Source organism: Homo sapiens, chromosome 9 (genome assembly GCF_000001405.40).
Source record: "Homo sapiens chromosome 9, GRCh38.p14 Primary Assembly".
Taxonomy (NCBI): domain Eukaryota; kingdom Metazoa; phylum Chordata; class Mammalia; order Primates; family Hominidae; genus Homo; species Homo sapiens.
In genome coordinates, this window is record NC_000009.12 from 137,398,908 (window position 1) to 137,423,048 (window position 24,141).

At 55.4% G+C, this 24,141-nt stretch overlaps 1 protein-coding gene and 1 pseudogene across 9 annotated transcripts in view, besides 10 other annotated features; one reads left to right on the plus strand and one right to left on the minus strand.

Moving 5' to 3' along the window:
* The window catches only part of EXD3 (exonuclease 3'-5' domain containing 3), a 116,267-nt gene that overhangs the window by 92,012 nt on the left and 114 nt on the right, over nucleotides 1-24,141 (minus strand). The window contains exon 1 of one of the 9 annotated variants that reach the window (XM_047423546.1): nucleotides 6,594-7,748. The exons of the other annotated variants lie outside the window; for them this stretch is intronic. The gene's annotated coding sequence lies outside the window, so the exon portion shown is untranslated. Of the gene's footprint in view, nucleotides 1-6,593; nucleotides 7,749-24,141 lie in introns of those variants that run through there. 9 annotated transcript variants of the gene reach the window in all.
* Nucleotides 7,912-7,991: a silencer, noted in NCBI's record as "silent region_20615". NCBI's record gives its function as "represses an Ori minimal core promoter by ATAC-STARR-seq in GM12878 lymphoblastoid cells {active_cell/tissue: GM12878}" and the evidence as "EXISTENCE:reporter gene assay evidence [ECO:0000049][PMID:35858748]".
* Nucleotides 8,032-8,391: a silencer, noted in NCBI's record as "silent region_20616". NCBI's record gives its function as "represses an Ori minimal core promoter by ATAC-STARR-seq in GM12878 lymphoblastoid cells {active_cell/tissue: GM12878}" and the evidence as "EXISTENCE:reporter gene assay evidence [ECO:0000049][PMID:35858748]".
* Nucleotides 12,864-13,043: a silencer, noted in NCBI's record as "fragment chr9:140306223-140306402 (GRCh37/hg19 assembly coordinates)". NCBI's record gives its function as "represses an EF-1alpha promoter that drives an FKBP-Casp9 reporter gene in an ReSE screen in HepG2 liver carcinoma cells {active_cell/tissue: HepG2}" and the evidence as "EXISTENCE:reporter gene assay evidence [ECO:0000049][PMID:32094911]".
* Nucleotides 12,864-13,348: a biological region, named in NCBI's record as "ReSE screen-validated silencer GRCh37_chr9:140306223-140306402".
* Nucleotides 12,979-13,348: a silencer, noted in NCBI's record as "silent region_20617". NCBI's record gives its function as "represses an Ori minimal core promoter by ATAC-STARR-seq in GM12878 lymphoblastoid cells {active_cell/tissue: GM12878}" and the evidence as "EXISTENCE:reporter gene assay evidence [ECO:0000049][PMID:35858748]".
* Nucleotides 14,090-14,384: a silencer, noted in NCBI's record as "tiled region #4638; HepG2 Repressive non-DNase unmatched - State 23:Low". NCBI's record gives its function as "represses a minimal TATA promoter and a strong SV40 promoter by Sharpr-MPRA in HepG2 cells {active_cell/tissue: HepG2}" and the evidence as "EXISTENCE:reporter gene assay evidence [ECO:0000049][PMID:27701403]".
* Nucleotides 18,478-19,304: an enhancer, noted in NCBI's record as "H3K27ac-H3K4me1 hESC enhancer chr9:140311837-140312663 (GRCh37/hg19 assembly coordinates)". NCBI's record gives its function as "activates a minimal SCP1, AML or CMV promoter by ChIP-STARR-seq in naive and primed H9 embryonic stem cells {active_cell/tissue: H9 hESC(naive and primed)}" and the evidence as "EXISTENCE:reporter gene assay evidence [ECO:0000049][PMID:30033119]".
* Nucleotides 18,790-19,059: a silencer, noted in NCBI's record as "silent region_20618". NCBI's record gives its function as "represses an Ori minimal core promoter by ATAC-STARR-seq in GM12878 lymphoblastoid cells {active_cell/tissue: GM12878}" and the evidence as "EXISTENCE:reporter gene assay evidence [ECO:0000049][PMID:35858748]".
* On the plus strand, nucleotides 22,237-22,331 carry LOC124902354 (uncharacterized; annotated as a pseudogene).
* Nucleotides 23,847-23,986: a silencer, noted in NCBI's record as "silent region_20619". NCBI's record gives its function as "represses an Ori minimal core promoter by ATAC-STARR-seq in GM12878 lymphoblastoid cells {active_cell/tissue: GM12878}" and the evidence as "EXISTENCE:reporter gene assay evidence [ECO:0000049][PMID:35858748]".
* Nucleotides 23,997-24,136: a silencer, noted in NCBI's record as "silent region_20620". NCBI's record gives its function as "represses an Ori minimal core promoter by ATAC-STARR-seq in GM12878 lymphoblastoid cells {active_cell/tissue: GM12878}" and the evidence as "EXISTENCE:reporter gene assay evidence [ECO:0000049][PMID:35858748]".

The window sequence follows — 24,141 nt, forward strand, 5'->3', positions numbered from 1 at the left end:
CAGGCAACCGCGTCTCCGTGACACATGTGCACCCGCGTCCCCAAGACACATCCCCAAGACACACAGGCAACCATGTCCCCGTGACACGCGTCCAACATCCTCGTAACACGTGCACACCGACATCCCCGTGACATACACAGACTGTCCCTGTGGCACAGGCGCATCCACGTCCCCATGACACACGCACACTGCACCTCCACTGGAAGCCTGGCTGTGCGTGGCTGTGGGGCAGGGGTCATTCTCCTGACGGTCATGGTAACGCCCCTCTACTGTCTTCTAGCCTCAGGGGTTGCTGAGAAATCTGATGCCCCCTGACTCGAGTGCCAGCATCTTCTGGGGAGACCCCGGGGCCGTGGCCGGATCCCAGCAGGACGGACATGGTGTGGTCCCCTGGGGGCTCCGTGGCCACCCTTCTGCATGTGGCTTCCCGATGGTGTCCTGCCCTCCACGCCCTCAGTTCTGTCCTCAGGAACTCCTGCTGTTTAGAACTTACACTTCCTGAGAATTACTTTGTCTTCTCATCTTTCCTTCTCTGCCTTTTTGGGAGATTTCCTGAACTTTATTTTGCAACCCTCTCACTGAAAGGTTCATTTCTGCTATCACAAATTTAATACTATCCACGAGTTCTGGTTTTCTGAAGCTTTTTACAAGGGTCTCCTCTCTTATTCCTGGCTTCTCTTCCTAACCCCCATATTAGTTCATTTTCACGCTGCTGATAAAGACATACCTGAAACTGGGAACAAAAAGAGGTTTAATTGGACTTATGGTTCCACATGGCTGGGGAGGCTTCAGAATCATGGTGGGAGGCGAAAGGCGCTTCTTACATGGTGGTGGCAAGAGAAAATGAGAGCCGGGTACAGTGGCTCACTCCTGTAATGCCAGCACTTTGGGAGGCTGAGGCGGGCAGTTCACCTGAGGTCAGGAGTTCATGACCAGCCTGCCAACATGGCGAAACCCTGTCTTTACTAAAAATACAAAAAGCAGCCAGGCGTGGTGGTGGTGCCTCCCAGGTACTCAGGAGGCGGAGAAAGGCGAATCACTTGAACCTGGGAACAGGGGTTGCAGTGAGCTGAGACTGCACCATTGCACTCCAGCCTGGGTGACAGAGCAGAACTCCATCTCAAAAAAAAAAAAAAAAAAAGAAAATGAGGAAGAAGCAAAAGAGGAAACCTCTGATAAACCCGTCAGATCTCATGAGACTTACTCACTATCAGAAGAATAGCATGGGAAAAACTGGCCCCCATGATGTAATTACTCCCCCTGGGTCCCTCCCATAACGTGGGAATTCTGGGAGATACAATTCGGGTTGAGATTTGGGTGGGGACACAGCCAAACCACATCATTCCGTCCCGGCCCCTCCAAATCTCACGTCCTCACATTTCAAAACCAATCATGCCTTCCCAACAGTCCCTCAAAGTCTCAACTGATTTCAGCATTAACCCAAAAGTCCACAGTCCAAAGTCTGATCTGAGACAAGGCAAGTCTCTTCCGCCTATGAGCCTGTAAAATCAAAAGCAAGTTAGTTACTTCCTAGATACAATGGGGGTACAGGTATTCAGTACATACAGCCATTCTGGGCCGGGCATGGTGGCTCATTCTTATAATCCCAGCACTTTGGGAGGCCGAGGAGGGTGGATCACCTGAGGTCGGGAGTTTGAGACCAGCCTGACCAACATGGAGAAACCCTGTCTCTACTACAAATACAAAATTAGCCGGGCGTGGTGGCACCCACCTATAGTCCCAGCTACTTGGGAGGCTGAGGCAGGAGAATCACTCGAACCTGGGAGGTGGAGGTTGCAATGAGCCGAGATCGCGCCATTGCACTCCAGCCTGGGCAACAGAGCGAGACTCCATCTCAAAAAAAAAAAAAAGTTCCAAATGGGAGAAATTGGACAAAACAAAGGGATTACAGGGCCCACGCAAGTCTGAAATCCAGAAGGGCAGTCAAATTTTAAAGCTCCAAAATGATCTCCTTTGACTCCAGGTCTCACATCCAGGTCATGCTGATGCAAGAGGTGGGTTCCCATGGTCTTGGGCAGCTCCACCCCTGTGACTCTGCATGGTACAGCCTCCCTCCCAGCTGCTTTCACAGGTGGTGTTGAGTGTCTGCTGCTTTTCCAGGCACATGGTGCAGGCTGTCGGTGGATCTACCATTCTGGCATCTGGATGACAGTGGCCTGCTTCTCACAGTCCCACTAGGCAGTGTCCCAGTAGGGACTCTGTGTGGGGGCTCCCACCCATTTCCTTTTTTTTTTTTTTTTTTTGAGATGGTGTCTCACTCTGTTGCCCAGGCTGGAGTGCAGTGGCGCGATCTCAGCTCACTGCAAGCTCCACCTCCCGGGTTCACACCATTCTCCTGCCTCAGCCTCCCAAGTAGCTGGGACAACAGATGCCCGCCACCACACCCGACTAAATATTTTTGTATTTTTAGTAGAGACGGGGTTTCACCGTGTTAGCCAGGATGGTCTTGATCTCCTGACCTTGTGATCTGCCTGCCTCGGCCTCCCAAAGTGCTGGGATTACAGGTGTGAGCCACCGTGCCCGGCCCCCACCCATTTCCCTTCTGCACTGCCCTAGCAGAGGTTCTCCATGAGGGCCCCGCCCCACAGCAAACTTTTGCCTGGACATTTAGGCATTTCCAAACATCTTCTGAAATGTAGGCAGAGGTTCCCAAACCTCATTTCCTGACTTCTGTGGACCCACAAGCTCAACACCACGTGGAAGCTGCCAAGGCTTGGGGCTTCCACCCTCTGAAGCCACAGCCCGAGCTCTATGTTGGCCTCTTTCAGCCACGGCTGGAGTGTCTGGGACATGGGGCACCAAGTCCCTAGACTGCACACAGCACAGGGACCCTGGGCCCAGCCCACAAAACCACTTTTTCCTCCCGGGCCTCCAGGCCTATGATGGGAGGGGCTGCCATGAAGGTCTCTGACATGACCTGGAGACATTTTCCCCATGGTCTTGGGGATGAACATTAGCCTCCTTGCTACTTATGTAAATTTCTGCAGCCGGCTTGAATTTCTCCTGAAAAAATTGGTTTTTCTTTTCTACTGCGTCAGGTTGCACATTTTCTGAATTTTTATGCTGTTTCCCTTTTTAAACATAATTCTTTTTTAGTTTTGTTTTTGAGATGGAGTCTTGCTCCGTCACCAGACTGGAGTGCAGTGGTGTGATCTCGGCTCACTGCAACCTCTGCCTTTCTGGTTCAAGTGATTCTCTTGCCTCAGCCTCCTGAGTAGCTGGGATTACAGGTGCGTGCCACCACGCCCGGCTAATTTTTGTATTTTTAGTAGAGATGTGGTTTCACCATATTGGTCAGGCCGGTCTTGAACTCCTGACCTCGTGATCCGCCCGTCTCAGCCTCCCAAAGTGTGGGGATTACAGGTGTGAGCCATTGTGCCTGGTCCCAGAATGCTTTTAACAGCATCCAAGTCAGCTTTTGAATGCTTTGCTGCTTAGAGATTTCTTCCACCAGATACCCTAAATCATCTCTCTCTCAAGGTCAAAGTTCCATAAATCTCTAGGACAGGCACAAAATGCTGCCAGTCTCTTTGCTAAAAGATAACAAGAGTCACCTTTGCTTCAGTTCTCAACAAGTTCCCCATCTCCATTTGAGACCATCTCAGCCTGGACATTATTGTTCATAACACTATCAGCATTTTTGTCAAAGCTATTCAACAAGTCTCTAGGAGGTTCCAAACCTTCCCACATCTTCTTGTCTTCTGAGCCCTCCAAACTGTTCCAACCTCTGCCTGTTACCCAGTTCCAAGTCGCTTCCACATTTTTGGGTATCTTTTCAGCAATACCCCACTCCACTGGTACCAATTTACTGCGTTAGCCCGTTTTCACGCTGCTGATAAACACATACCTGAGACTCAGAACAAAAACAAGTTTAATTGGACTCACATTTCCACATGGCTGGGGAGGCCTCAGAATCACGGTGGAAGGCGAAAGGCACTTCTTACATGGTGGCAGCAAGAGAAAATGAGGAACCAAAAGTGGAAACCCTGATAAAGCCATCAGATCTCGTGAGTCATATTCACTACCATGAGAACAGCATGGGAAAGACCGGCCCCAGGATTCAATTACTGCCCCCTGGGTCCCTCCCACAACAGGTGGGAATTCTGGGAGATACAATTCAAGTTGAGATGTGGGTGAGGACACAGCCAAAGCATATCACCCGCCACGGGAGACCCTGTGGCTCGGCTTGGCTCATTTCCTGCAGGATCCCCGGCGCTGACCCCTCTCCCCTCCATGGCAGTGTGGGGACTGCTATGCATATCTGAAAGTGAGGCACTAGTCATCTGCTTGGAAATGGGTTGGGGGCACCCCAGGAGTGGGGCCCCACTGTGAGTGACCTGAGGGGCCCCAGAAGATGCAGACCCGAACGCGTCTCCTCCCGGCTGGTCTGTCCAGGAAAAAGCCCTCCCAGCCGCACCTGCCAGCCACTGAGTTTGGGGGCACAGGCAGGGAGCTGCAGACCCCGTTCCTCTGTAGCCCTCCCCACCCCCAGCCCAGCAGCAGCAGCAGCCAGCACACCCTGGCCCAGGGTCTCCGAGGGTCGGGGGCCGCAGGGTCTGGCAGCACCCCATGAAGGCCGCCCCAGGTCCGTTTCAGCCCTCCAGACGCCCGTACCCAGGAAACCTGGGCCTCCATTCCCGAGCCCCCCAGTTTTCGCCTCTCTCCTTCTCTTTGCCCCTAAGGGGTTTTGCCTTTTTAATTCTTTTGCTGTCACCTTAATTGGCCTTGGGGGAGATGGACCAGCAGGCCCGAGATCCAGGGTCTTAGGGCTCCTCCCAGCAGGGCAGACCCAGCCACGCAGAGCCCACCGCCAGCTTCCAAGGGCTCCAGAAAGTGGTCGCTGCCCTTCTCAGAAGGCCCTCTCCACCATGCCCAGAACCGTGGATGCCCCAGCCTGGGCTCTTCACCAGGAAATGAAGGGGAAGACAGACCTGTGGGATAGGGATGGGTCCCGAGGCGGGGCAGTCACACCCCCACGCCATCTCTGCATAGACCCCGAAGGATGTGGAGTGTCCTCCAGGGCCGTACAAAGCACCACACACAGGGCGCGAGTGACAGGGACGTGTGTCCTCACTGTCCCGAGGCTGCAGCTCTGAGACTGGGTGGGGAGGGTGGGCCCCACTCCCTGGGTCTCCTCCCTGGGTCCTCACGGGTCCCCCCATGTGCGTCTGTGTCCTGATCTCCCCTTCTTGTGGTGACACCAGTCCTACTGGATTAGGGCCCACCCCAACGACCTCATTTTACCTCTGCCAAGACCCCATCTCCAAATACAGTGACATGGCGCCTAGGGCTTCAACATGGGAATTTGGGGGGAAACAACTCAGCCCACAGCAGATCGCGGGTCCTTCCCCAACAGAGGCAGAGGCTCCCCACGCCAGCTCTTGGGGAAGGGTCAGGGAGCCCACAAGGCCTCTGCACACTATTCCCTCCGCCTTCATGAAAGAGGCGTGCCCATCTCCCAGATGAGAAAACTGAGCTCAGCCAGGATCAAAGCAGGTCTCGTCCCAGTCTCCTCACTCTACCACTCTCCACTTTTATTTGCTTTTTATTGCCTCAGCTGCCTATAAAGGCAATTATGCATGTAATACAATATTTGGAAAACTACATTTGCAAATTCTGAAAAATCATGCAAAAAAAATCACTAAAAGCCGGCCAGGCGCGGTGGCTCATGCCTATAATCCCAGCACTTTGGGAGGCCAAGGCCGGAGGATCACCTGAGGTCGGGAGTTCGAGACCAGCCTGACCAACATGGAGAAACCCCATTTCTACTAAAAATATAAAATTAGCTGGGCGTGGTGGCACATGCCTCTAATCTCAGCTACTTGGGAGGCTGAGGCAGGAGAAATGCTTGAACCCGGGAGGCAGAGGTTGCAGTGAGCCAAGGTCGCACCATTGCACTCCAGCCTGGGCAACAAGAGTGAAGCTCTGTCTTAAAAAAAAAAAAATCACTAAAAGCCACAGTCCCCTCCTGGCCACGCCTGTCTCCTCCTTGCTCCCAGTGCCACCTCATCTGCCTCAGCCCCTACCTATCCCCTCAGAGCTGTTGCCACAGCCCTCCCAGGTGCTCGAGGGGACACAGTGCTATCCCCCAGGCGAGCCGGGTGCTGGGAGGGGACACGTGCTGTCTCACAGGTGAGCCAGGGGCTGGGAGGGGACACAGTGCTTTCCCACAGGTGAGCCAGTGGCCATTCCCAAATTCCCAGGGCCTCTGCCAGCGGGTGTCCAAAGACCCTACTTGGGAGCCCCGCACATCCGCACATCCCACCCTTGGACCTCCTAACTGCGCTGGGGTCCGGCACAGTGGGCTCTGACCCACAGAGGGCTGGGCCAGCACCCCCGGGGGAAGGCGGTGGGCACCCAGGGCCAGAGCAGGGGCCAGAGCCCCAACCCCCGCTGCTTCCCCAACTGCTCCCTGGGGACCCCTGGACCACAGGACCAACGGGGGCAGGGTGGGCCCCCCACACAGGTCCTGGACTCATTCGTGCTGGTGTCCGTGGCCCAAGGATTTGCAGAGCCGCGGACGGAGCCCAGGGCGGCCGTCGCAGGCCACTCACCCGTCCCCAGCCACTCACCCGTCCCCAGCATCCACAGTTTCTCAGGCTCTCAACAATAAACTTTACGTCTCATGGTTCAAGAAATGCCAGGCTCTGGGCTGAGAGGCAGAAGGCTCAGGCACAGCTCCCACTCTGTAAGGCAGCAGAAGCCACCATTTCTCTCTATTGTTGGTTTCCTCCCTGGATCTTCTGCTGAAAGCACATTTGATTTTCTTACATCACATTGAAGTAGATCAAGTTCCTGATAAATGTTAGAGTTAGCCTGACTCAGCATGAGCCTGGCTTCTCCTGCCGGCCGGCACAGGGGTGGGTACCATGCACATGGTCTCCCCGCCCTGCCTACCATCTGCTGCCCTGGAACCCTTGGTGGGACCCGCTGCCCACAGACACCTTGCCCGTGCCCCAATGCCAGGCAGAGGCCTCTGTGCTCTGAAGAGTGAATAAAACGTGAAACTGGCTGGGCACGGTGGCTCACGCCTGTAATCCCAGCCTTGTGGGAGGCCGAGGCGGGAGGATCACTTGAGCTCAGGAGTTTGAGACCAGCCTGGGCAACATAGTGAGACCCCATCCTATGAAAAAAAAAATCAGCTGGGCGTGGTAACATGCACCTGTAGTCCCAGCTACTCAGGAGGCTGAGGTGGGAGGACCGCTTGAGCCCAGGAGGTCAAGGCTGCGGTGACCCAAGATTGGGCCACTGCATTCTAGCCTGGGTGACAGAGCAAGACCCTGTTTCCAAAAAAGAAAAAGAAAAGAAAGAAAAGAAAAGAAAAGGAAAGGAAAAGAAAGAAAATAAAAGGCAAGGAAAAAGGAAAAAAAAAAGAAAAAGAAAAGAAAAAGAAAAAGAAAAGAAAGAAAAATGAGGCCCCTGCACAGAACCAGGGTGGCTGGCAGCAAGTTATCTGGAGCTGAGAGCTGGGGGCTGAGTGCAGCCAGGGCGGGGTGAGCCTCGTGACACCCCCATCGCACAGGGAGGCCCTGACAGGAGGCCGCTCCACCTCTGTTTGTCTTGTCCCAAACGGCAGAGGCGACGGCTGCTCTTGGCCAACACTCCTGCCCCTGGCGTGCCCCGTGGCCGTCTGGAGGGTGGACTTGGCTTCCTGCACCAACGCACCCCTCGACCCCCAGACGGCAGCGGCATTAGTGGCGCTGATGGTGTCTGATGAGCAAATGAATAAAGGCAGCAGGTCCCCCACCACCACCTCCATTCCCACGGGCACTCCCAGCGGCTTCTGGAAACTTCCCTGGGCTCTCAGTACTCCCCCGGCCACAGCCTCAGTGGGCGGTAGACCCTCTCCCCAGCCCTCCTCTGGGGTGTCTGTGTCCCGACCCCCACCCCAGGCCGCTCCTCAGCCCCCACCCCTCCCTTCCAGGAGTGCAGCCCGTCCCCCCTCAGCAGGCTGGGGACGGCCTTGCGCGCTGCGGGGACCCGACGGGGCAGCCCCAGCCAGGCCGTCAGGCTCCGAGAGAGGTGCGGAGCCAACACTGCCTCCCAGCGTCCCAGGGTCCTGTGACCGGGAAGGCCCCGCATCTGCTGCACCCGGAGTGGTGGAGGCCAGAACGCTCGCCAGCAAACCCGCCCGTTCACAGAGGCACCGGAGCGGGCGGGCGGGGGCGGCCTGCGGAGCAGCCAGTCCCGGGCACCCCACGCCGACCGCCGCGCGTCCGGGCCGGTCTCTGGGCCCCTCTGCTGGTGGAACCCGGCAGCGCCTCCTCCGTCTCAGCCGCGTCGGTCCCAGGCGCCTCCCCTACCCGCACGCCCAGGCTGGGTCTCCGTTTCCCACCAGGCCAGCGCTGCAGGCAGAGCCCAGCCCGGCGGCCGCGGCGAACACGGGGCGGCCCCTCCACCTCTGTCCGCCTGCCCTAAATACCGCAGAGGTGACTGCTCCCCCGCGAAGCCCACCCACCTGAGGTCCTGGCCCCCAAGGGGCCATCTGCCCCCGGCTCACCGCAGGCCCTTTCCTGGGGGCCTCTGTGCCGTGCAAAGGGCAGGTCTGGCCGCTCTCGGGCTCTGCCCTGCCAGCCCCACAACCCAGAACCCAGCGTCCCCGCCCCCATCTCCCGGGATCCCTTGGCTAAGGGAGGGTGACTGGTGGCCCGCAGGCCCTTCAGAGGGTCCCTGACAGGGAAGGATGGAGACGCAGCTCCAGACCCCAGAGTGCGGCCCCCCAGACACACCCACGGCCGTCCACCATCCAAGCATAAACCCCAACGCAGCGGCTCCTGGCCTGGTTCTGAAGACGGCCCAGCTGGAGTGGGAGAAGTGCCCAGTGCTTCCGTCACTGGAGCCCACGGGTCCACAGGCATTCGAGGTCTTGGATGCGCCGGCTGGACCCAAGGACACACGCGGGAGGCGGGAGGCGGGAGGGGCACAGCAAAGGGTCTGGGGGGAGGCCGGAGGGGGCTTTCCCCTTGGGCACCATGGACACCCCAGGCCCCGCAGCACACAAATGCGGAGCCTCAAGCCTCCAGGGGTTTTCCAGCCTCACGCCTCCGGGGGTCTCCCCAGCCTCATGCCTCTGGGGATCTCCCACCCTCATGCCTCCTGTGGTCTCCCAGCCTCAGGCCTCCAAGGGTCTCCCTGGCCCAACCTCCTTGCTGTGTCTCCAGAAAGCTCTGAAGCCCAGCCCCTCCTCCTCACGTTCGACTGCGCTGCGTGGGTGTTTTACTAAAACCCAACAGTGACTCTTCCTCTGGGCGCCTGGATGTGTCTCCTCCAACATTTGGCCGGCCCTGCACGTGCCCCAAAGCTCCCAAGGGGCTTTTAAGAGGGCTTTGGGGTGGGGGGGCCGGGCATGGTCGCTCACGCCTGTAATCCCAGCACTTTGGGAAGCTGAGGCGGGAGGATCACGAGGTCAGGAGATCGAGACCATCCTGGTTAACACGGTGAAACCCCGTCTCTACTAAAAATATAAAAATTTGCCGGGCGTGGTGGCGGGCGCCTGTAGTCCCAGCTACTCCGGAGGCTGAGGCAGGTGAATGGCGTGAACCCGGGAGGTGGAGCTTGCAGTGAGCCGAGATCGCACCACTACACTCCAGCCTGGGCGATAGAGTGAGACTCTGCCTCAAAAAAAAAAAAAAAAAAAGAGGGCTCTGGGGGAGACAGCAGCCCCTACGGCCCCCACACCTCCCCCCAGCTGCTCAGCAAGGCCCTCCAGGGACGTCCAGCACAGCTGAACCGGCCCCTCAGACCAATGGTAACCCCAAATCTGAGACTGGGGGCCTTTTATCTGCGTCCCTTGAGTGGGCTGTGAGTTCCAAGATCCTCTTTAAAAAAGGTGGAGCCTCGAGCCAATCGGAATGGACAGACCCACCCTGTACAGGGAAGCCAGGCCAGCGGGCGCACAGGCCCAGGACCCGGGCGCAGCTTGTCTCTCACCATCAGGCTGGGTCAGCCCCTCTCCACAAGTCTGCAGGGCTGTTTTTATCCCTGAGCTCAGGATGAACTTGTACAAGGCCCCGATGGCACTCACTTTGCTGATCAGCCTGGGAAGGGGGCAGTCGGCCTGTCCCTTCTGTGGGAGGGCGGCTGCTATAATTTAAAGTGTGTCCCTCTGAAACACGCTGGAATTCCATCACCATGCTGCGGCGTTTCAAGGTGGGGCCTTGGGACGTGCCCGGGGGGTGAGGATCCTGCCCCACTGGAGGGATTAATCCATTCATGGATTCCTGGGTTATCACGGGAGTGGAACTGGTGGCTTTATAAGAGGAGGAGGAGAGGCCTGAGGCCTGAGCCCGCATGCTGGGCCCTCACCATGGCTGCCCCGAGCCGCCTCAGGACCCTTCGGAGTCCCACCAGCATGAATACCTCCTCATTCAGAATCCCGCCAGCATGAACGCCTCCTCGGATGCTCCCCTCACCCTTAGACTTAGCCTCCAGAGCTGTAAGAAATAAATTCCTTTTCTTTATAAATTACCCAGTTTTAGATATTGTGTTTTAAGTTAACAGAAAACTGGCCCGGCGTGGTGGCTCACACCTTTGATCCCACCACTTTGGGAGGCCAAAGCAGGCGGATTGCTTGAGTCCAGGAGTTTGAGACCAGCCTGGGTAACATAGCGAGACTCTGTTTCTATGAAAAAAACAGGTATCTATCCAGGCATGGTGGCATGCGGCGTGTAGGGAGGGAGCTGTGTCTACAAAGCCCTGGACCTAAAAATGGCCAAGTGGAGACATGGGCTGATGTGACTGAGAATGGAAACGGCTGGCAAGGATTCAGTTCACATTCCCTCGCTGCACACTCTCTGTAACTGGCCTCATTTTAGGATGAAAAAGCCTGTCTGGATCTCTCAGCATCTTTCTCGGAACGTGGTGCCAGGTCCCAAGCCCACACCAGGACAAGCGGGGCTCCCCAGCTCCCTGATGGGGCGACACCACTCACCAGTTTTGCAGCTTCCACTTAAAATTAACAACTGCTGGCTGGGCGCGGTGGCTCACGCCCGTAATCCCAGCACTTTAGGAGGCTGAGGCGGACGGATCACAAGGTCAGTAGTTCGAGACCAGCCTGGCCAACATGGTGAAACCCTGTCTCTACTAAAAATACAAAAAATTAGCTGGGCATGGTGGCAGGTGCCTGTAATCCCAGCTACTCGGGACGTTGAGGCAGGAGAATGGTGTGAACCTGGGAGATGAAGGTTGCAGTGAGCCGAGACCGTGCCACTACACTCCAGCTGGGCAACAGGAGCTAAACTCCGTCTCAAAAAACAAAAATAATTAACAACCAACAGCTGGGCACAGTGGCTCATGCCTGCAATCCTAGCACTGTGGGAGCCTGAGGAGGGCAGATCACTTGAGGCCAGGAGTTCAAAACCAGCCTGGCCAACATGGTGAAATCCCGTCTCTACTAAAAATACAAAAATTAGCCAGGCGCGGTGGTGGGTGCCTGTAATCTCAGCTACCTGGGAGGGTGAGGCAGGAGAATCACTTGAACCCAGGAGGTGGAGGTTGCAGTGAGCTGAGATTGCACCACCGCATTCCAGCCTGGGCGACAGAGCGAAACTCTGTCTCAAAAAAAAAAAAAAAAAAAAATTAACAACCAACCCTTTTAAGTGTCTTCATTTCTTCTGAAAGGTGCTAACTCAAGCCAAATTGTTGCCATGAGTCCTGTGACCACAGAACGTTGGGTTCTGAGAACCCCAGAGGCTCTTGTTCCCTGGCCCCACGATCCACACCCAGGGAGACGACACAGCTGGGTCCCTACCCACACGGGGCAGAACTGCACAACGAGGAAGCCCCCCTGGGGGCGGCCTGGCATGGAGGAGGTGACCCACGGGGGACGTGCCTGACTCACTGTGGAGGCGACGCTGCTGAGGGCGGGGGGCAGGGCGAGGGCTGTGTCCTTTCCCACAGAGCCTGGCAGACCCCCAGGGCCTGAGTGAGGTCCAAGGCTCTGCAGGTGACTGTGCCTGGAGCCCCAGCCCCCGGCCTCAGTGCTTTCCCACAGAGCCTGGCAGACCCCCCAGGGCCTGAGTGAGGTCCAGGCGTCTCAGGGGACTGCAGGTGACTGTGCCTGGAGCCCCAGCCCCCAGCCTCAGTGCAGATTTCGGTCATTGGCTGTGGCTGCCCTGTGCGCTGAGCAGGTGTCCAGGTGGGCATAGGCTGGCACCTCTAGGGCCCCTGGACCACCGCAGAACCTGTAGCAGATTCCGGCTGAGGCCCCGAGGCCGGCCCCCCGGGTGGGGAGTCCCAGGCCTGGCCGTGAGATGGAGTAGATGATGCCGAATGGAGCGCAGGCGTGGGAGGGGCACGCACGCCCAGAAAGGCTCATCTTCACCCCAAACCCAGCTGAGCCCAGGATGCCCCCTTCCCAGAGAAGGAAACCAGCGAAGGCACAGCTGCCCCCGAGCCCTGGGCATGGGGCTTGCTCCGGAGATGGGCTCTGAGGCAGGATGGGGGGCAGCCCTGCTCCTCGGTTTCCTGGGAGGCCTGGCCAGACACCCGGCGGCCTCCCAGGGAGCCTCCACAGGAAGGCGGGACCGGCGGGACCAACAGGATGTGCAGGGGCCCCTCCCTCGAAGCTTCGCCCTCAAGTAGGACCCAAAGCTCCCTCAAACGACCCCTGAACAGGCCGACCTTGAAGGACCCCACAAGAACCCAGGTTGCTGGCAGAGGCTCAGAGGTGGCCATGGCAGGCCAGCGGCGGCCGTCAGTCTCTCCATCGGTGCCACAGCACCACCAGCCCCGGGACCTGGAAAAGGAGCGGCAGGCGGAGGCGGGGGTGGGGGAGGTTGGGGGGAGGGGGATGGGTGGGGGAGGGGGAGGGGGTGGGGGAGTGGGAGGGAGTCGGGGAGGCGGAGGGCTTCCTGTGGCCGCGGTGCACAATGGTGTTTTCTGCACACCGCAGTGAGTCACCCAAGACGGACTGGAAGCCGGGCCACCCTGCATTCTTGTCCGGGCGCCAGGTCACGCTTCCTCTGCGGTTTTTCTGTGGTGTTTCCCTGAGGACCGGTGGGCCCTCCAGGTGGGCCTTGTGCCGCCAGCAGGCGTGGCCAGGAGGGCGGGAGGCGGCAAGAGAGTGGGCTGTGTGCCCCCCAGGTCTCCCTGGCACCCCGATGGGGGGCTCCCAGGCTCCCCCACCCCCACAGAGCCGGCCTTACTGCCCTCTTCTGAGAGCGCCAACCTTGAGGGCCCTGCAGCCGCCACCCCCAGGATGCGGCAAGGACAGGGGGCTGGAGGCCGGCCTGAGACCCAGAGCGAGTGGGCGGGCAACACTGGCTTCAGAGCCCCCAGAAGCTGTTGATCCCAAAGGAGGCCTCCAAGGCCTGTCCCCTCCCCACCTCATATTGTCTGACACAGCAGCCACAGCTGAAAGTGCAAGACACGTGATTAGAGAAGGGTCAATATCTCTGTGACAGCTTTTTATATCGACTGCATGTGGAAATGGAAATATTTTGGGCATACTGGAGTTAAATAAAATATATTATTAAAATAAATTCACTTGTTTCTCAGTTTTTAAATGTGTCTACAAGAAAACTTAAAAGCCTCCTCGTCATAAAGCTCCAGGTGCCCACCGGGGCCCTTCCAGGAGAAGCAAACAGCCCCGCGGCCACCACTCCCCAAACAGTGTCAGTGGGAACCAGAAACATTCCACATGGGACAGGGTGGATACCCCAGAGCCCCCCGGGAGCAGCCCCCAGAGGCACGAGGGCACAGCAGGATGAGCTGATGCTGGCAAGATGGCCACGCACAGCCGGGGCCCCTCGGGAGGGAGTTCAGGCCTCCTCAGTGAACAGCAGCCTTGACTCACACACTGTGTCCACTGGCTTCAAAGGGAATTCCATGTGTTTACCATCTCAGTGACCATTTTTATTTAATTTTTTTGAGACAGGGTCTCACTGTCGCCCAGGATGGAGTGCGGTGGGGCGATCACGGCTCACGGCAGCCTCAATCTCCAGGGCTCAAACGATCCTCCCACCTCAGCCTCCTGAGTAGCTGGGACCACCGGAGTGCACGCTACACCTGGATAATTTTGGGAGGGGTATTTTTTGTAGAGATGGGGTCTCACTACGTCACCCAGACTGGTCTCAAACTCCTGAGCTCGGTAATCCTCCTGCCTCAACCTCCCTAAGTGCTGGGATTACAGGCGTGAGCCACCACACCCAGCCTCAGTAACTGCTCTATAACTTTGAGATATAATTCACATACCATAAAATTTACCCTCAAAGTTACAACTCGGTGTTTTCAACATGTTCACATACATGAGTCACCATCACCACTATCCAACTCCAGAACTTTTTTTTTTGAGACGGAGTCTCACTCCGTCGCCCAGGCTGGAGTGCAGTGGCGTGATCTTGGCTCACTGCAAGCTCCGCCTCCCGGGTTCACGCCATTCTCCTGCCTCAGCCTCCCGAGTAGCTGGGACTATAGGCGCCTGCCACCACGCCCGGCTAATTTTTTGTATTTTTAGTAGAGACGGGGTTTCACCGTGTTAGCCAGGATGGTCTTGATCTCCTGACCTTGTGATCTGCCCGCATCAGCCTCTCAAAGTGTTGGGATTACAGGCATGAGCCACCGCGCCTGGCCTAGCTTTTTTTTTTTTTTTTTTTTGAGACAGGGTCTCGCTCTGTCACCCAGGGTGGAGTGCAGTGGTGCGATCCCAGCTCACTGTAACCGCCTCCTGGCTCAAGTGATTCTTGTGCCTAAGTCTCCTGAGTAGCTGGGACTACAGGCGCCCACTACCACACCCGGCTAAGTTTTATATTTCTGGTAGAGACGGGGTGTTGCCATGTTTGGCCAGGCTGGTCTTGAACTCCTGACCTCACGTGATCCACTTGCCTCAGCCCAGAACATTTTCATTGCCCCAAAGACAACCAACCATGTGCCCATCAACAATTACTCCCTCTGCCCCTCCTCAGCCCCTGGCCATTTTGTGTCTCTGTGAATCTTTCTATTTTGGGCATTTCCTATAAAGGAGACCACACAGGTTCTGTTGTTTTTTTTTTCTTTTTTTTTTTTTTTGAGACGGAGTCTCACTCTGTTGCTCAGGCTGGAGTGCAGTGGTGCCATCTCGGCTCACTGCAAGCTCTGCCTCCCGGGTTTACGCCATTCTCCTGCCTCAGCCTCCCGAGTAGCTGGGACTACAGGCGTCCGCCACCACGCCCGGCTAATTTTTGTATTTTTAGTAGAGACGGGGTTTCACTGTGTGTTAGCCAGGATGGTCTCGATCTCCTGACCTCGTGATCCACCTCCCTTGGCCTCCCAAAGTGCTGGGATTACAGGCGTGAGCCACCGCGCCCGGCCAAGGTTCTGTTCTCTTGTGGCTGACTGACCTCACTTGGCATGGTGTCTTCAAAACTCATCCCTGCAGCAGCATGTGCTGGAACTGCCTTTCCGTGGCTGAGTCCTGCCCCACTGTGTGCACAGACCACGGGCTGTTTGTCCAGCAGACATTCGGGCCGCACCCCCTTGTCTGGCTGTTATAAACAGTGCTGCTGTGAACAGCTGTGTGCATGTTTCTGTGTGGAGTGTGTTTTCACTGATCTGGGGACACACATTCCTAGGACTGGAGCTGCTGAGTCTCGGTGTTTCTATGTTTAGCTTTTTGAGGAACTACCAGACTGTTTCCACAGTGGACGTGCCATTTTACGCTAGCATCGATAACACACGAGGGTTCTGATTTCTCCACAGCCTCACCAACGCCTGTTGCGGTCTGTCTTTCGTTTTTTTAAACTTACCAATTTAACTTAAGGATTGTTCCTTTCCTTAACAATTAACATGACCAATTTTAAACACAAAAAGTAACTTTCCAGGGATATTGCACAGGAGATGGAGAAGGAGGCCAGCAGGTGTGACAGGTGTGGGGTCCCACACCGCCACTCCAGGGGGGTGCTGGCATGTTTGGCCCCCGTGGGCTCCACGTAGGTCGCAGGGTTTCTTTGTATGTTTGTTTTTATGTTTTTGAGATGGAGTCTCGCTCTGTTGTCCAGGCTGAGACGGAATCTCACTTTGTCGCCCAAGCTGGAGTGCAGGGGGGCGATCTCGGCTCACTGCAAGCTTTGCCTCCAGGGTTCAAGTGATTCTCCTGCCTCAGCCTCCCGAGTAGCTGGGATTACAGGTGCCTGCCACCACGCCCAGCTAATTTTTGTATTTTTAGTAGAGACGCGGTTTCATCATGTTGGCCAGGATGGTCTTGAACTCCTGACCACAAGCAATCCGCCCACCTCGGCCTCTCAAAATGCTGGGATTACAGGCGTGAGCCACTGCGCTGGGCCTGTCACAGGTTTGTTTTTTTTTTTTCTGTTTTTTGAGATGGAGTCTTGCTCTGTTGCCCAGGCTGGAGTGCAGTGGGGCGATCTCAGCTGACTGCAACCTCCGCCTCCCGGGTTCAAACCGTTTTCCTGCCTCAGCCTCCTGAGTGGCTGGGATTACAGGCATGCACAGCTAATTTTTGTAATTTTAGTAGAGACAGGGTCTCTCCATGTTCGCCAGGCTGGTCTCGAATTCCTGACCTCAGGTGATCAGCCTGCCTCGGTCTCCTAAAGTGCTGGGATTACAGGCAGGAGCCACTGCTCCTGCCCAGGCTGCGGTTTTGAAGGACACCTTCCCTGTTCACCGTGTTGGTTTTAGCTCTGCGGCAAGCTTCTCTGTGCACCCCACCTCCCTGCAGCTCACTGCCCACAACACATGGATGTACCATGGGACAGCTGCAAGGACGGGTCAGGTGGCCCATGGGCTCTGGGGAACCCTTTCTGGGAGGTGCCAACAGCACATGTTGGGGTCACCATCACAGACGGGGCTGGGGCCAACAGTCCCCCATCAAGGGTGGGCTTTCCCAAGGACCCCAGTTCTGATCACACAAGGTAGAATCTGATGAATGATAAACAGCATTTAAAAACCATGTTTTATAAAAATACTTAATGGCATGGGAAAGGGTTCACAGAGCAGCATAAAGTCGCGTTGCCCTAAGGGGATCACGCTGCACGGTGCAAGGTCCCTTCTCAAAACCAGGCAGATGCACGTGTGAGGGCCTGGCTGCTCTGCCGACGGTGCCTCTGTGCTTTCTGTTTTGTATTTTCTGAATACTACACAATGTATACACCCTGGTTTGTATTCATGAACAAAGAAAAAACCATGAATGATATTTTTGAAGGTTAAAACTAGGATGGGATCTTAGCCTTAGCACCTCCACACCTCACCCATGGTGACAGGGCCTCTGCCTGCCGCCGGCCACTGCCAGCCACACCTGGGACCCACAGCCAGGGCTTTCGCTCTTCTGCAGTGCCTGAGGGCCAAGAATTCTGCGGTGGCTGGCTGGGTGGCCGCTCCACCAGGGGGAGGGCACTGCACGTCTCAGTCCTCAGCAGCCCGAGGTTCCCAGAGTGAGGGACCCACAGGGACAAAGGGGCGGACTTGGGGCCCTCACGACCTATCTCCATGTCACACAGCCTCTGCCACCTTCCCATCAGGCCGGGCACCCCCAGGTCCAGCTCACACTCCACCGCAGCTTCTGCACAGCCAGGGAGGGACCGCCGGCAGCCCACCGCCTCACCTCCCAGGTCTCCACCAGAAACATCCGGCCGGCCCAGCTGACCCCCGGGCAGGCGCCCGGAACCTCGCTGGTCCCCGGGCAGGCATCCGGACCCTCGTCAGCCCGGCTGCTGCTTCCCAAAGGTCCTCTCCACCCAGGACCCTAACACGTGCTGGGCAACCCGGCTCAGAGCATCATCCTGCGCCACGCCAGGCGGCCACCCTCTGAGGAGGATGGGGACGGGACACATCCAGGTCACACCGAGGTGGCACCAGGCGGTTCCAGGACCTGGTTCCCCGTGACACAAGGATCAACACCAAGGGTCGGTAGGCCGTCCCGCAGCCTAGCCTGGGGCTGTCGCGAGCTCGCAGGGGTGCTCTTGGAGGCGCCCCGGGCAGGAGCCGCTCCCACCTGGAGCAGAAGGGAGCAGGCCCTCCCTGAGCTGGGCTCGGGACTGATGACGGTGCGGCCGTCAGGAGGCCAGGAAGCCCCGACACCTCCCCGTTTCCCGACAGACGCGGCCAGAACACGCCCAACTCCACGGGAGGGTCTGACCAAGGGGACCCCACCTTAGGATCTCCTCGGCCTCCCTGTGGGCCTCAGAACAGGCGGAGGCGGCAACGGCAGGAGAGGGCGACCCTCGTGACGACCGAGCTCCCGGGCAAAGCCGGGGCCGCGTTGCGGGGTTTCATCCCCGAGGGAGGGGCGCCCACCAGACGCCGGGGGAGAAGTCAGGTGGGCGGTGGGAGACACACGGGTCTGGACTCGCACAGAGGACGCGGCCACGGACTCACGCGGGCGCCGCAGGGACGGGGATGGCCAGTTTCCCACGGCTTGTCGTGAAAATGGGAAAGGCGGCGGGTGGTGAGCACAGCACACCCCGGCAGCGCCCAGGCTGCCAGGAAGCGAGCGCGCCCGCAGAGGCGCCAGACGGGTCCACGGGTGAGGCCGAACCTGACCACGGGTTCCGCGGCGCGGAGGCCCCTGCTGACCGCATCTGCACGGAGCCAACGGCGCGAGGGGCGGGAGGCGGCGTGGCCACACCCCACAGCCCACCCGTTCCTCGGAAAGTCGAACACAGCGACCACGGGCTCTGGCAGTTCCTCTCCCGGGCAGAGACCACGGGGACCAGCAACGCGCGTCCGCACAAACTACCCCAGCCGCGCTGCGCGTGGCGGCCGCAGAGGAGGAACGGCCGAGCGGAGGAGGAGGCGCGCGGCCACCACGCGGCGGAGCAGCTTCCGCCACGAACGGAACAGGAGGTCGGCGCAGGCGACATCACCGACACCACGTGTGCGCCCCGGGCACACCGGCCACTGCGCTGGGCCCTTCCCGCCTCCTTCAAGCGCAGGCCGTGCCGCGGGCCGGTCCTGCCCAGGGCGCCTGCGGGGGAGGCCGGGCCGTCAGGCGGGGAGGAAAGGACAGAGCCTGAGGATCTGAGGAGCCCGTGGGTGAGGGGCTGGCGGGGCCGGAGGGGGTGAGCTGCAAGGACTGGGGTGGGACCACGGAGGGGACGGGTGAGCCTCGGGGACGCACGGTCACTGGGAGGCCGAGGACCCCCGGGGCTGGCAGGAGGTCTGTGCCCTGGGTGATGCCACTTCTCCTATTAATCTCCTTTTGTGGCCGGGCGCAGTGGCTCACACCTGTAATCCCAGCACTTTGGGAGGCCGAGGCGGGCGGATCACCTGAGGTCAGGAGTTCCAGACCAGCCTGGCCAACATGGTGAAACCCCATCTCTACTAAAAATACAAAAATTAGCCAGGCGTGGTGGCATGCACCTGTAGTCCCAGCTAACTCAGGAGGCTGAGGCAGGAGAATCGCTTGAACCCGGGAAGCAGAGGTTGCAGTGAGAGCCGAGACTGCGCCACTGCACTCCAGCCTGGGCGACAAGAGCGAGACTCTGTCTCAAAAAACAAACAACAAACAAACAAACGTCTGAGTCATTTCTAAGTAAAACACTGAAACATTAATTACTAAGCGTAAGTTTAAGCTTATATACTTTAGTATCTTATTTTTATATGGCATAGGAAAGCTAAATATATTTACATCTGTTAACAAAAAAATTTAGGAGATGCATCTCTGTAAAACATGATGAAATGGTTTCCATCTACACATACAGTTCAAAATTACTCGCTGAGTTTTTAACGGAAAATTAGGGTCACGAAGTTAACACTGTAATTAATATATGTAACTGAAACTACTAAATATAAGAGAAACAATTCTGTACGTGAGATGTATAAGAAAAGCAGAGTTTGTTTTTCTTTTGAACAACATTTCGTGTAGTAATAAGAGATTGTAAAATATTTTTATCTTCTGAGTAAACAGAAAAAAAAAAAGGGGAAAGAGGGAGAGACATTCTGTTTGCCTCACGCTGTCTTTAGTAGGTCTATTGATTGCTTGGGAAACTAAGTCTCCTCTCTGTCATAGTAAAGGTTTTTGGTTTGGGAAATCTCTGAATTACCAATTTGATTAAATGAATGGCTTATTTTACAGTGACCTGTGGTCCTATTTTGAGATTGTTTTAAGCCTCTGATATTTGACTTCCCAAAACCAAATTTCAAGTCCTAACATTAAGGGTTTTTTTCACCTGAACTAACTTGGATATAACAAATAGGAACCCCGAGAAGTCCAAGGGAGATGTACGAGGCTTATGTGGTATGTTAAAATCATACAGGAAGCATTGTCAAATGTGGAATGCTGTTGGAGTTATATTGGTATAAATGTATTATTAACATATGTTCCAAAATTGTATGAGATTCCTAAAAATTCTGACATGTCTTGGTATATGTTATCAGTCGTGATTACGATTATATGTTAAACTGTTTTAACCTCAGAAGTAACCAAATTCCCTGCCAATCGCGTCTTCACCCATGGCTACTCTAAGTCTTTTGTCATCTGCAGAAAATTACTGTTTTACTTTGATTCTTCTCAAAATGCAGTTTAAGGCCGGGCACGGTGGCTCATGCCTGTAATCCCAACACTTCGGGAGGCTGAGGCGGGTGGATCACTTGAGGTCAGGAGTTCGAAACCAGCCAGGCCAATGTGGTAAAACCCCGTTTCTACTAAAAATACAAAATTAGCTGGGCATGGTGGCTCATGCCTGTAATCCCAGTTACTTGGGAGGCTGAGACAGGAGAATCGCTTGAACCTGGGAGGCGGAGGTTGCAGTGAGCCAAGATCGCACCACTACACTCCAGCCTGGGCAACAGAGCGAGACTCCATCTCAAAATAAATAAATAAATAAAATAAAATAAGGTACAGTCCAAAATTTGCATTTTCTTCAAGGAAATTCATGGAAAGGACATTGACAAGTATACAGACTTCCGATAACCTGGGAGATCACACCAGTAGACCAGATAAAAACTTCCAGGACTCTTATTTAAAAGCTGATGCATTCATGAGGATTGTTAACCCAACATCATACAGAAAAAAGCGGCCGGGCGCGGTGGCTCATGCCTGTAATCCCAGCACTTTGGGAGGCCAAGGCGGGCGGATCACGAGGTCAGGAGATCGAGACCATCCTGGCTAATACGGTGAAACCCCATCTCTACTAAAAATACAAAAAAATTAGCCGGGCATGGTGGCAGGTGCCTGTAGTCCCAGCTACTCGGGAGGCTGAGGCTGGTGAATGGCGTGAACCCGGGAGGCGGAGCTGGCAGTGAGCCGAGATTGTACCACTGCACTCCAGCCTGGGCGACAGAGGGAGACTCCGCCTAAAAAAAAAACAAAAAAAACCCCAGCAAATTACATAGAACTGAACTGATAGAGGCCTGAAATGCTTTTTATGATTTTTTGTTGTTATCGAAACCTTGCTGACTCTTTTTATATTTTGTTTTCCAGAGTCAGAAAACCTTTTTCTTTTTGAGCTATTTATAGCTATAGCAATTGAGTGACATATACTTTTGTGAGCAAAACTGAAATATTTGTCTTTTTCTCTACCTGATTTCTCAAAAATCTGGAAGCGATTCATGAGTATTCTTATTTTATGGCAATGTAGTTCTTTGCATGAGTTCAGTAAGAATCTGTTGTCCTTGTAACAGGACACAATTGGAGACCCTGGTTATTCTACCAAGGCTTGGACTGGGATGACGTATTTTTGGATATGACGAGACTGCTTTGAGGAATCGAGGTTCGCTTTATAGAGCCAATAAAAAGCCCCTTGGGATGACTGGACTGGTGCCCTGTTTACATAGTTCCCTTAAAAGGTTCTTGGCCTTGAGGTAAGGAAAGAATGTCACTTTCCGACAGATCCAGGAACTTCAAGATAGTTTGGGACCTGGAGGACAGACATTCACCCCCCCCCCCAAATTCATACAGGTATTATACATACACTGTGATGGGGAGCCACTGGCTTGGCTTCCTAGACATGGGAAGTGTTTGTTTTGTTTAGAGACAGGGTCTCGCTCTGTCACCCAGGCTGGAGTGCAGTGGTGCGATCATAGCTCACTGCAGCCTCAATCTCCTGGACTCAAGCGATCCTCCCATTTCAGCCTCCTGAGTAGCTGGGACTACAGGTGAGCACCACTATGCCCAGGTAATTTTTAAATTTTTTGTGGAGACAGGGACCTCGCTATGTTGCCCAGGTTGGTCTCAAACTCCTGGGCTCAATGAATCCTCCCACCTTGGCCTCCCAAAGTGCTGGGATTACAGGCATGAGCCACCATGCCCAGCCCTCAAGTGGCTTTTAAAGGTCTATTCTGACCCTCTTGTAGTTCATAAGCATGATGATTGCCTCATGTGTAGGGTCTGTCTCCTTCAAACGCTGTTATGACGCCAGCACATTACCTGTCTGATGTGGGGAAAAAAAGTCTGAAATTCCTTATGGCAAAGTTCCAGCCAGTTTAGAAAGGAGCCTATATGGCCAATCACCACTGTTGTACTTTAGGCAAATAATCAGGCCAAATATAATCCTAAAATTTATTTTACAAGTAAATTGGTCTTACCAAGATTTATCTTTGGTAGAAATGGGGAAGTAGAGAAAAATTATGTTTCAGAGAAAAACTACAGCATACCTGTTACTGGATTCTAGCCCTGATCATTGTATTTTTTATTTTCCTACAATCTGGACTAAATCCTGAACAATCTTCTGGCTACAAGTCTCAAAGAAGAACCTGGCTGGGCAGAGGTTCACACCTATAACCCCAGCACTTTGGGAGGCCCAGATGAGAGGATCACTTGGGCTCAGGAGTTCGAGACTAGCCTGGGCAAGGTGTCAAGACCTAGTCTCTACCAAAAAAATTTAAAATTAGCCGGTCCTGGTGGCAAACACCTGTATTCCCAGGTACTCAGGAGGCTAAGACAAGAGGATCATTTAAGCCCAAGAGTTCAAGGCTGCGATGAGTGGGAATCGTGCCTCTGCACTCCAGCATGGGTGACAGAGCAAGACCCCATTTCTAAGTAAACAAATAAATAAAAAGAAAGAAGAACATGGATTTTAGTTTCTTCATGTTTTTAGTTGTCTCCCTAATGGAACAGGTTTGTTTTTTTCATCCTGGCATACAAATTGGTTATAGTCCTATGTGTTACTTCTGAGAAAATTAAAATTAATGGTGTTTCTAAAAACTAGAGATGATTCAACAGGTGACAGCAGTTGTATAAATTAATGACTTCACTGAGACCTCATGTTTGCCACCCTGTAATGCCATTCCAATTCAGTTTGTGGTGTTCTTAAAAAAAAAAAAAAAAAAAAAACTCCCTGAAATGTCTCCTCCTTCCCTGCTTGGCATGGGACAGGACTATGTGGGAATGAGCCTTCCCAGCAAGAGGGGACACTCTGACCCTCAGATTTTGATAATCAATGCTTTCAAGAAGAAAGATTTTGATCAAAAGGGGGGCAAATGAGAAAGAAAAAAATCATTTATCTGAGGAATGTAAAGCCCTTTTAAACTGTGGGCCCAGAAAGCTTGATGTTAAGTGCCAGAAAGCATTTCAAATGAAACCGCAGCCCCTCACTACCCCTCGAGCCAAGTAACTATCCACTGATGACACCAAGCCGTGGTCAATCGCGAACCAATGCCATTTCTACAAGCCAGTGAGCTCCTGGGCAACGTTCGAAACCACCTGCTCTCCGATGGGCTCTGTTTTCTTTAAAAACCTGAGCCTCTGTTTTGTTCTCCGTTGCACCTGGTGACCCAGGCCGCCCTCGACCTCTGTGCCTGAATAAACCCACCGGGCACCACATTCTGACCCTTTTAATTATTTTAGGTTGACAACTAATACAGGACTCAGCGCCGGTGGACAGGAAGCCAGGGCCCCTGCAGGGAGGCGCCCGTCCCTTCTCCCGGGGAGGGCAGGGCGGGCGCGCGCGCGTCCCACCGGGAGCGCCTCCTCCTCGGCGAGGGAGCGAAGGGCCTCCGGGTCCTGTGATGTCCGTGCTCGGAAGGCGCGGAGGAGGGCAGGCCCTGCGGGACAGGGCGGCGGGGTCGCCGGGGTCGGCTCAGCTCCCCGCGGCGTCCGGCTGCTCGGCGGCCTCCGGAGCGGGGCCCTGCGGGAGAACGCACCTTCCCCGCCCCATCGGGGCCTCAGTTTCCCCACCCCGGGAGAGCCGGCGGCCCGCCCCCGGCTCACTCCCAGCTACGGCCCTCACCTCAGGACGCGCACCCGGC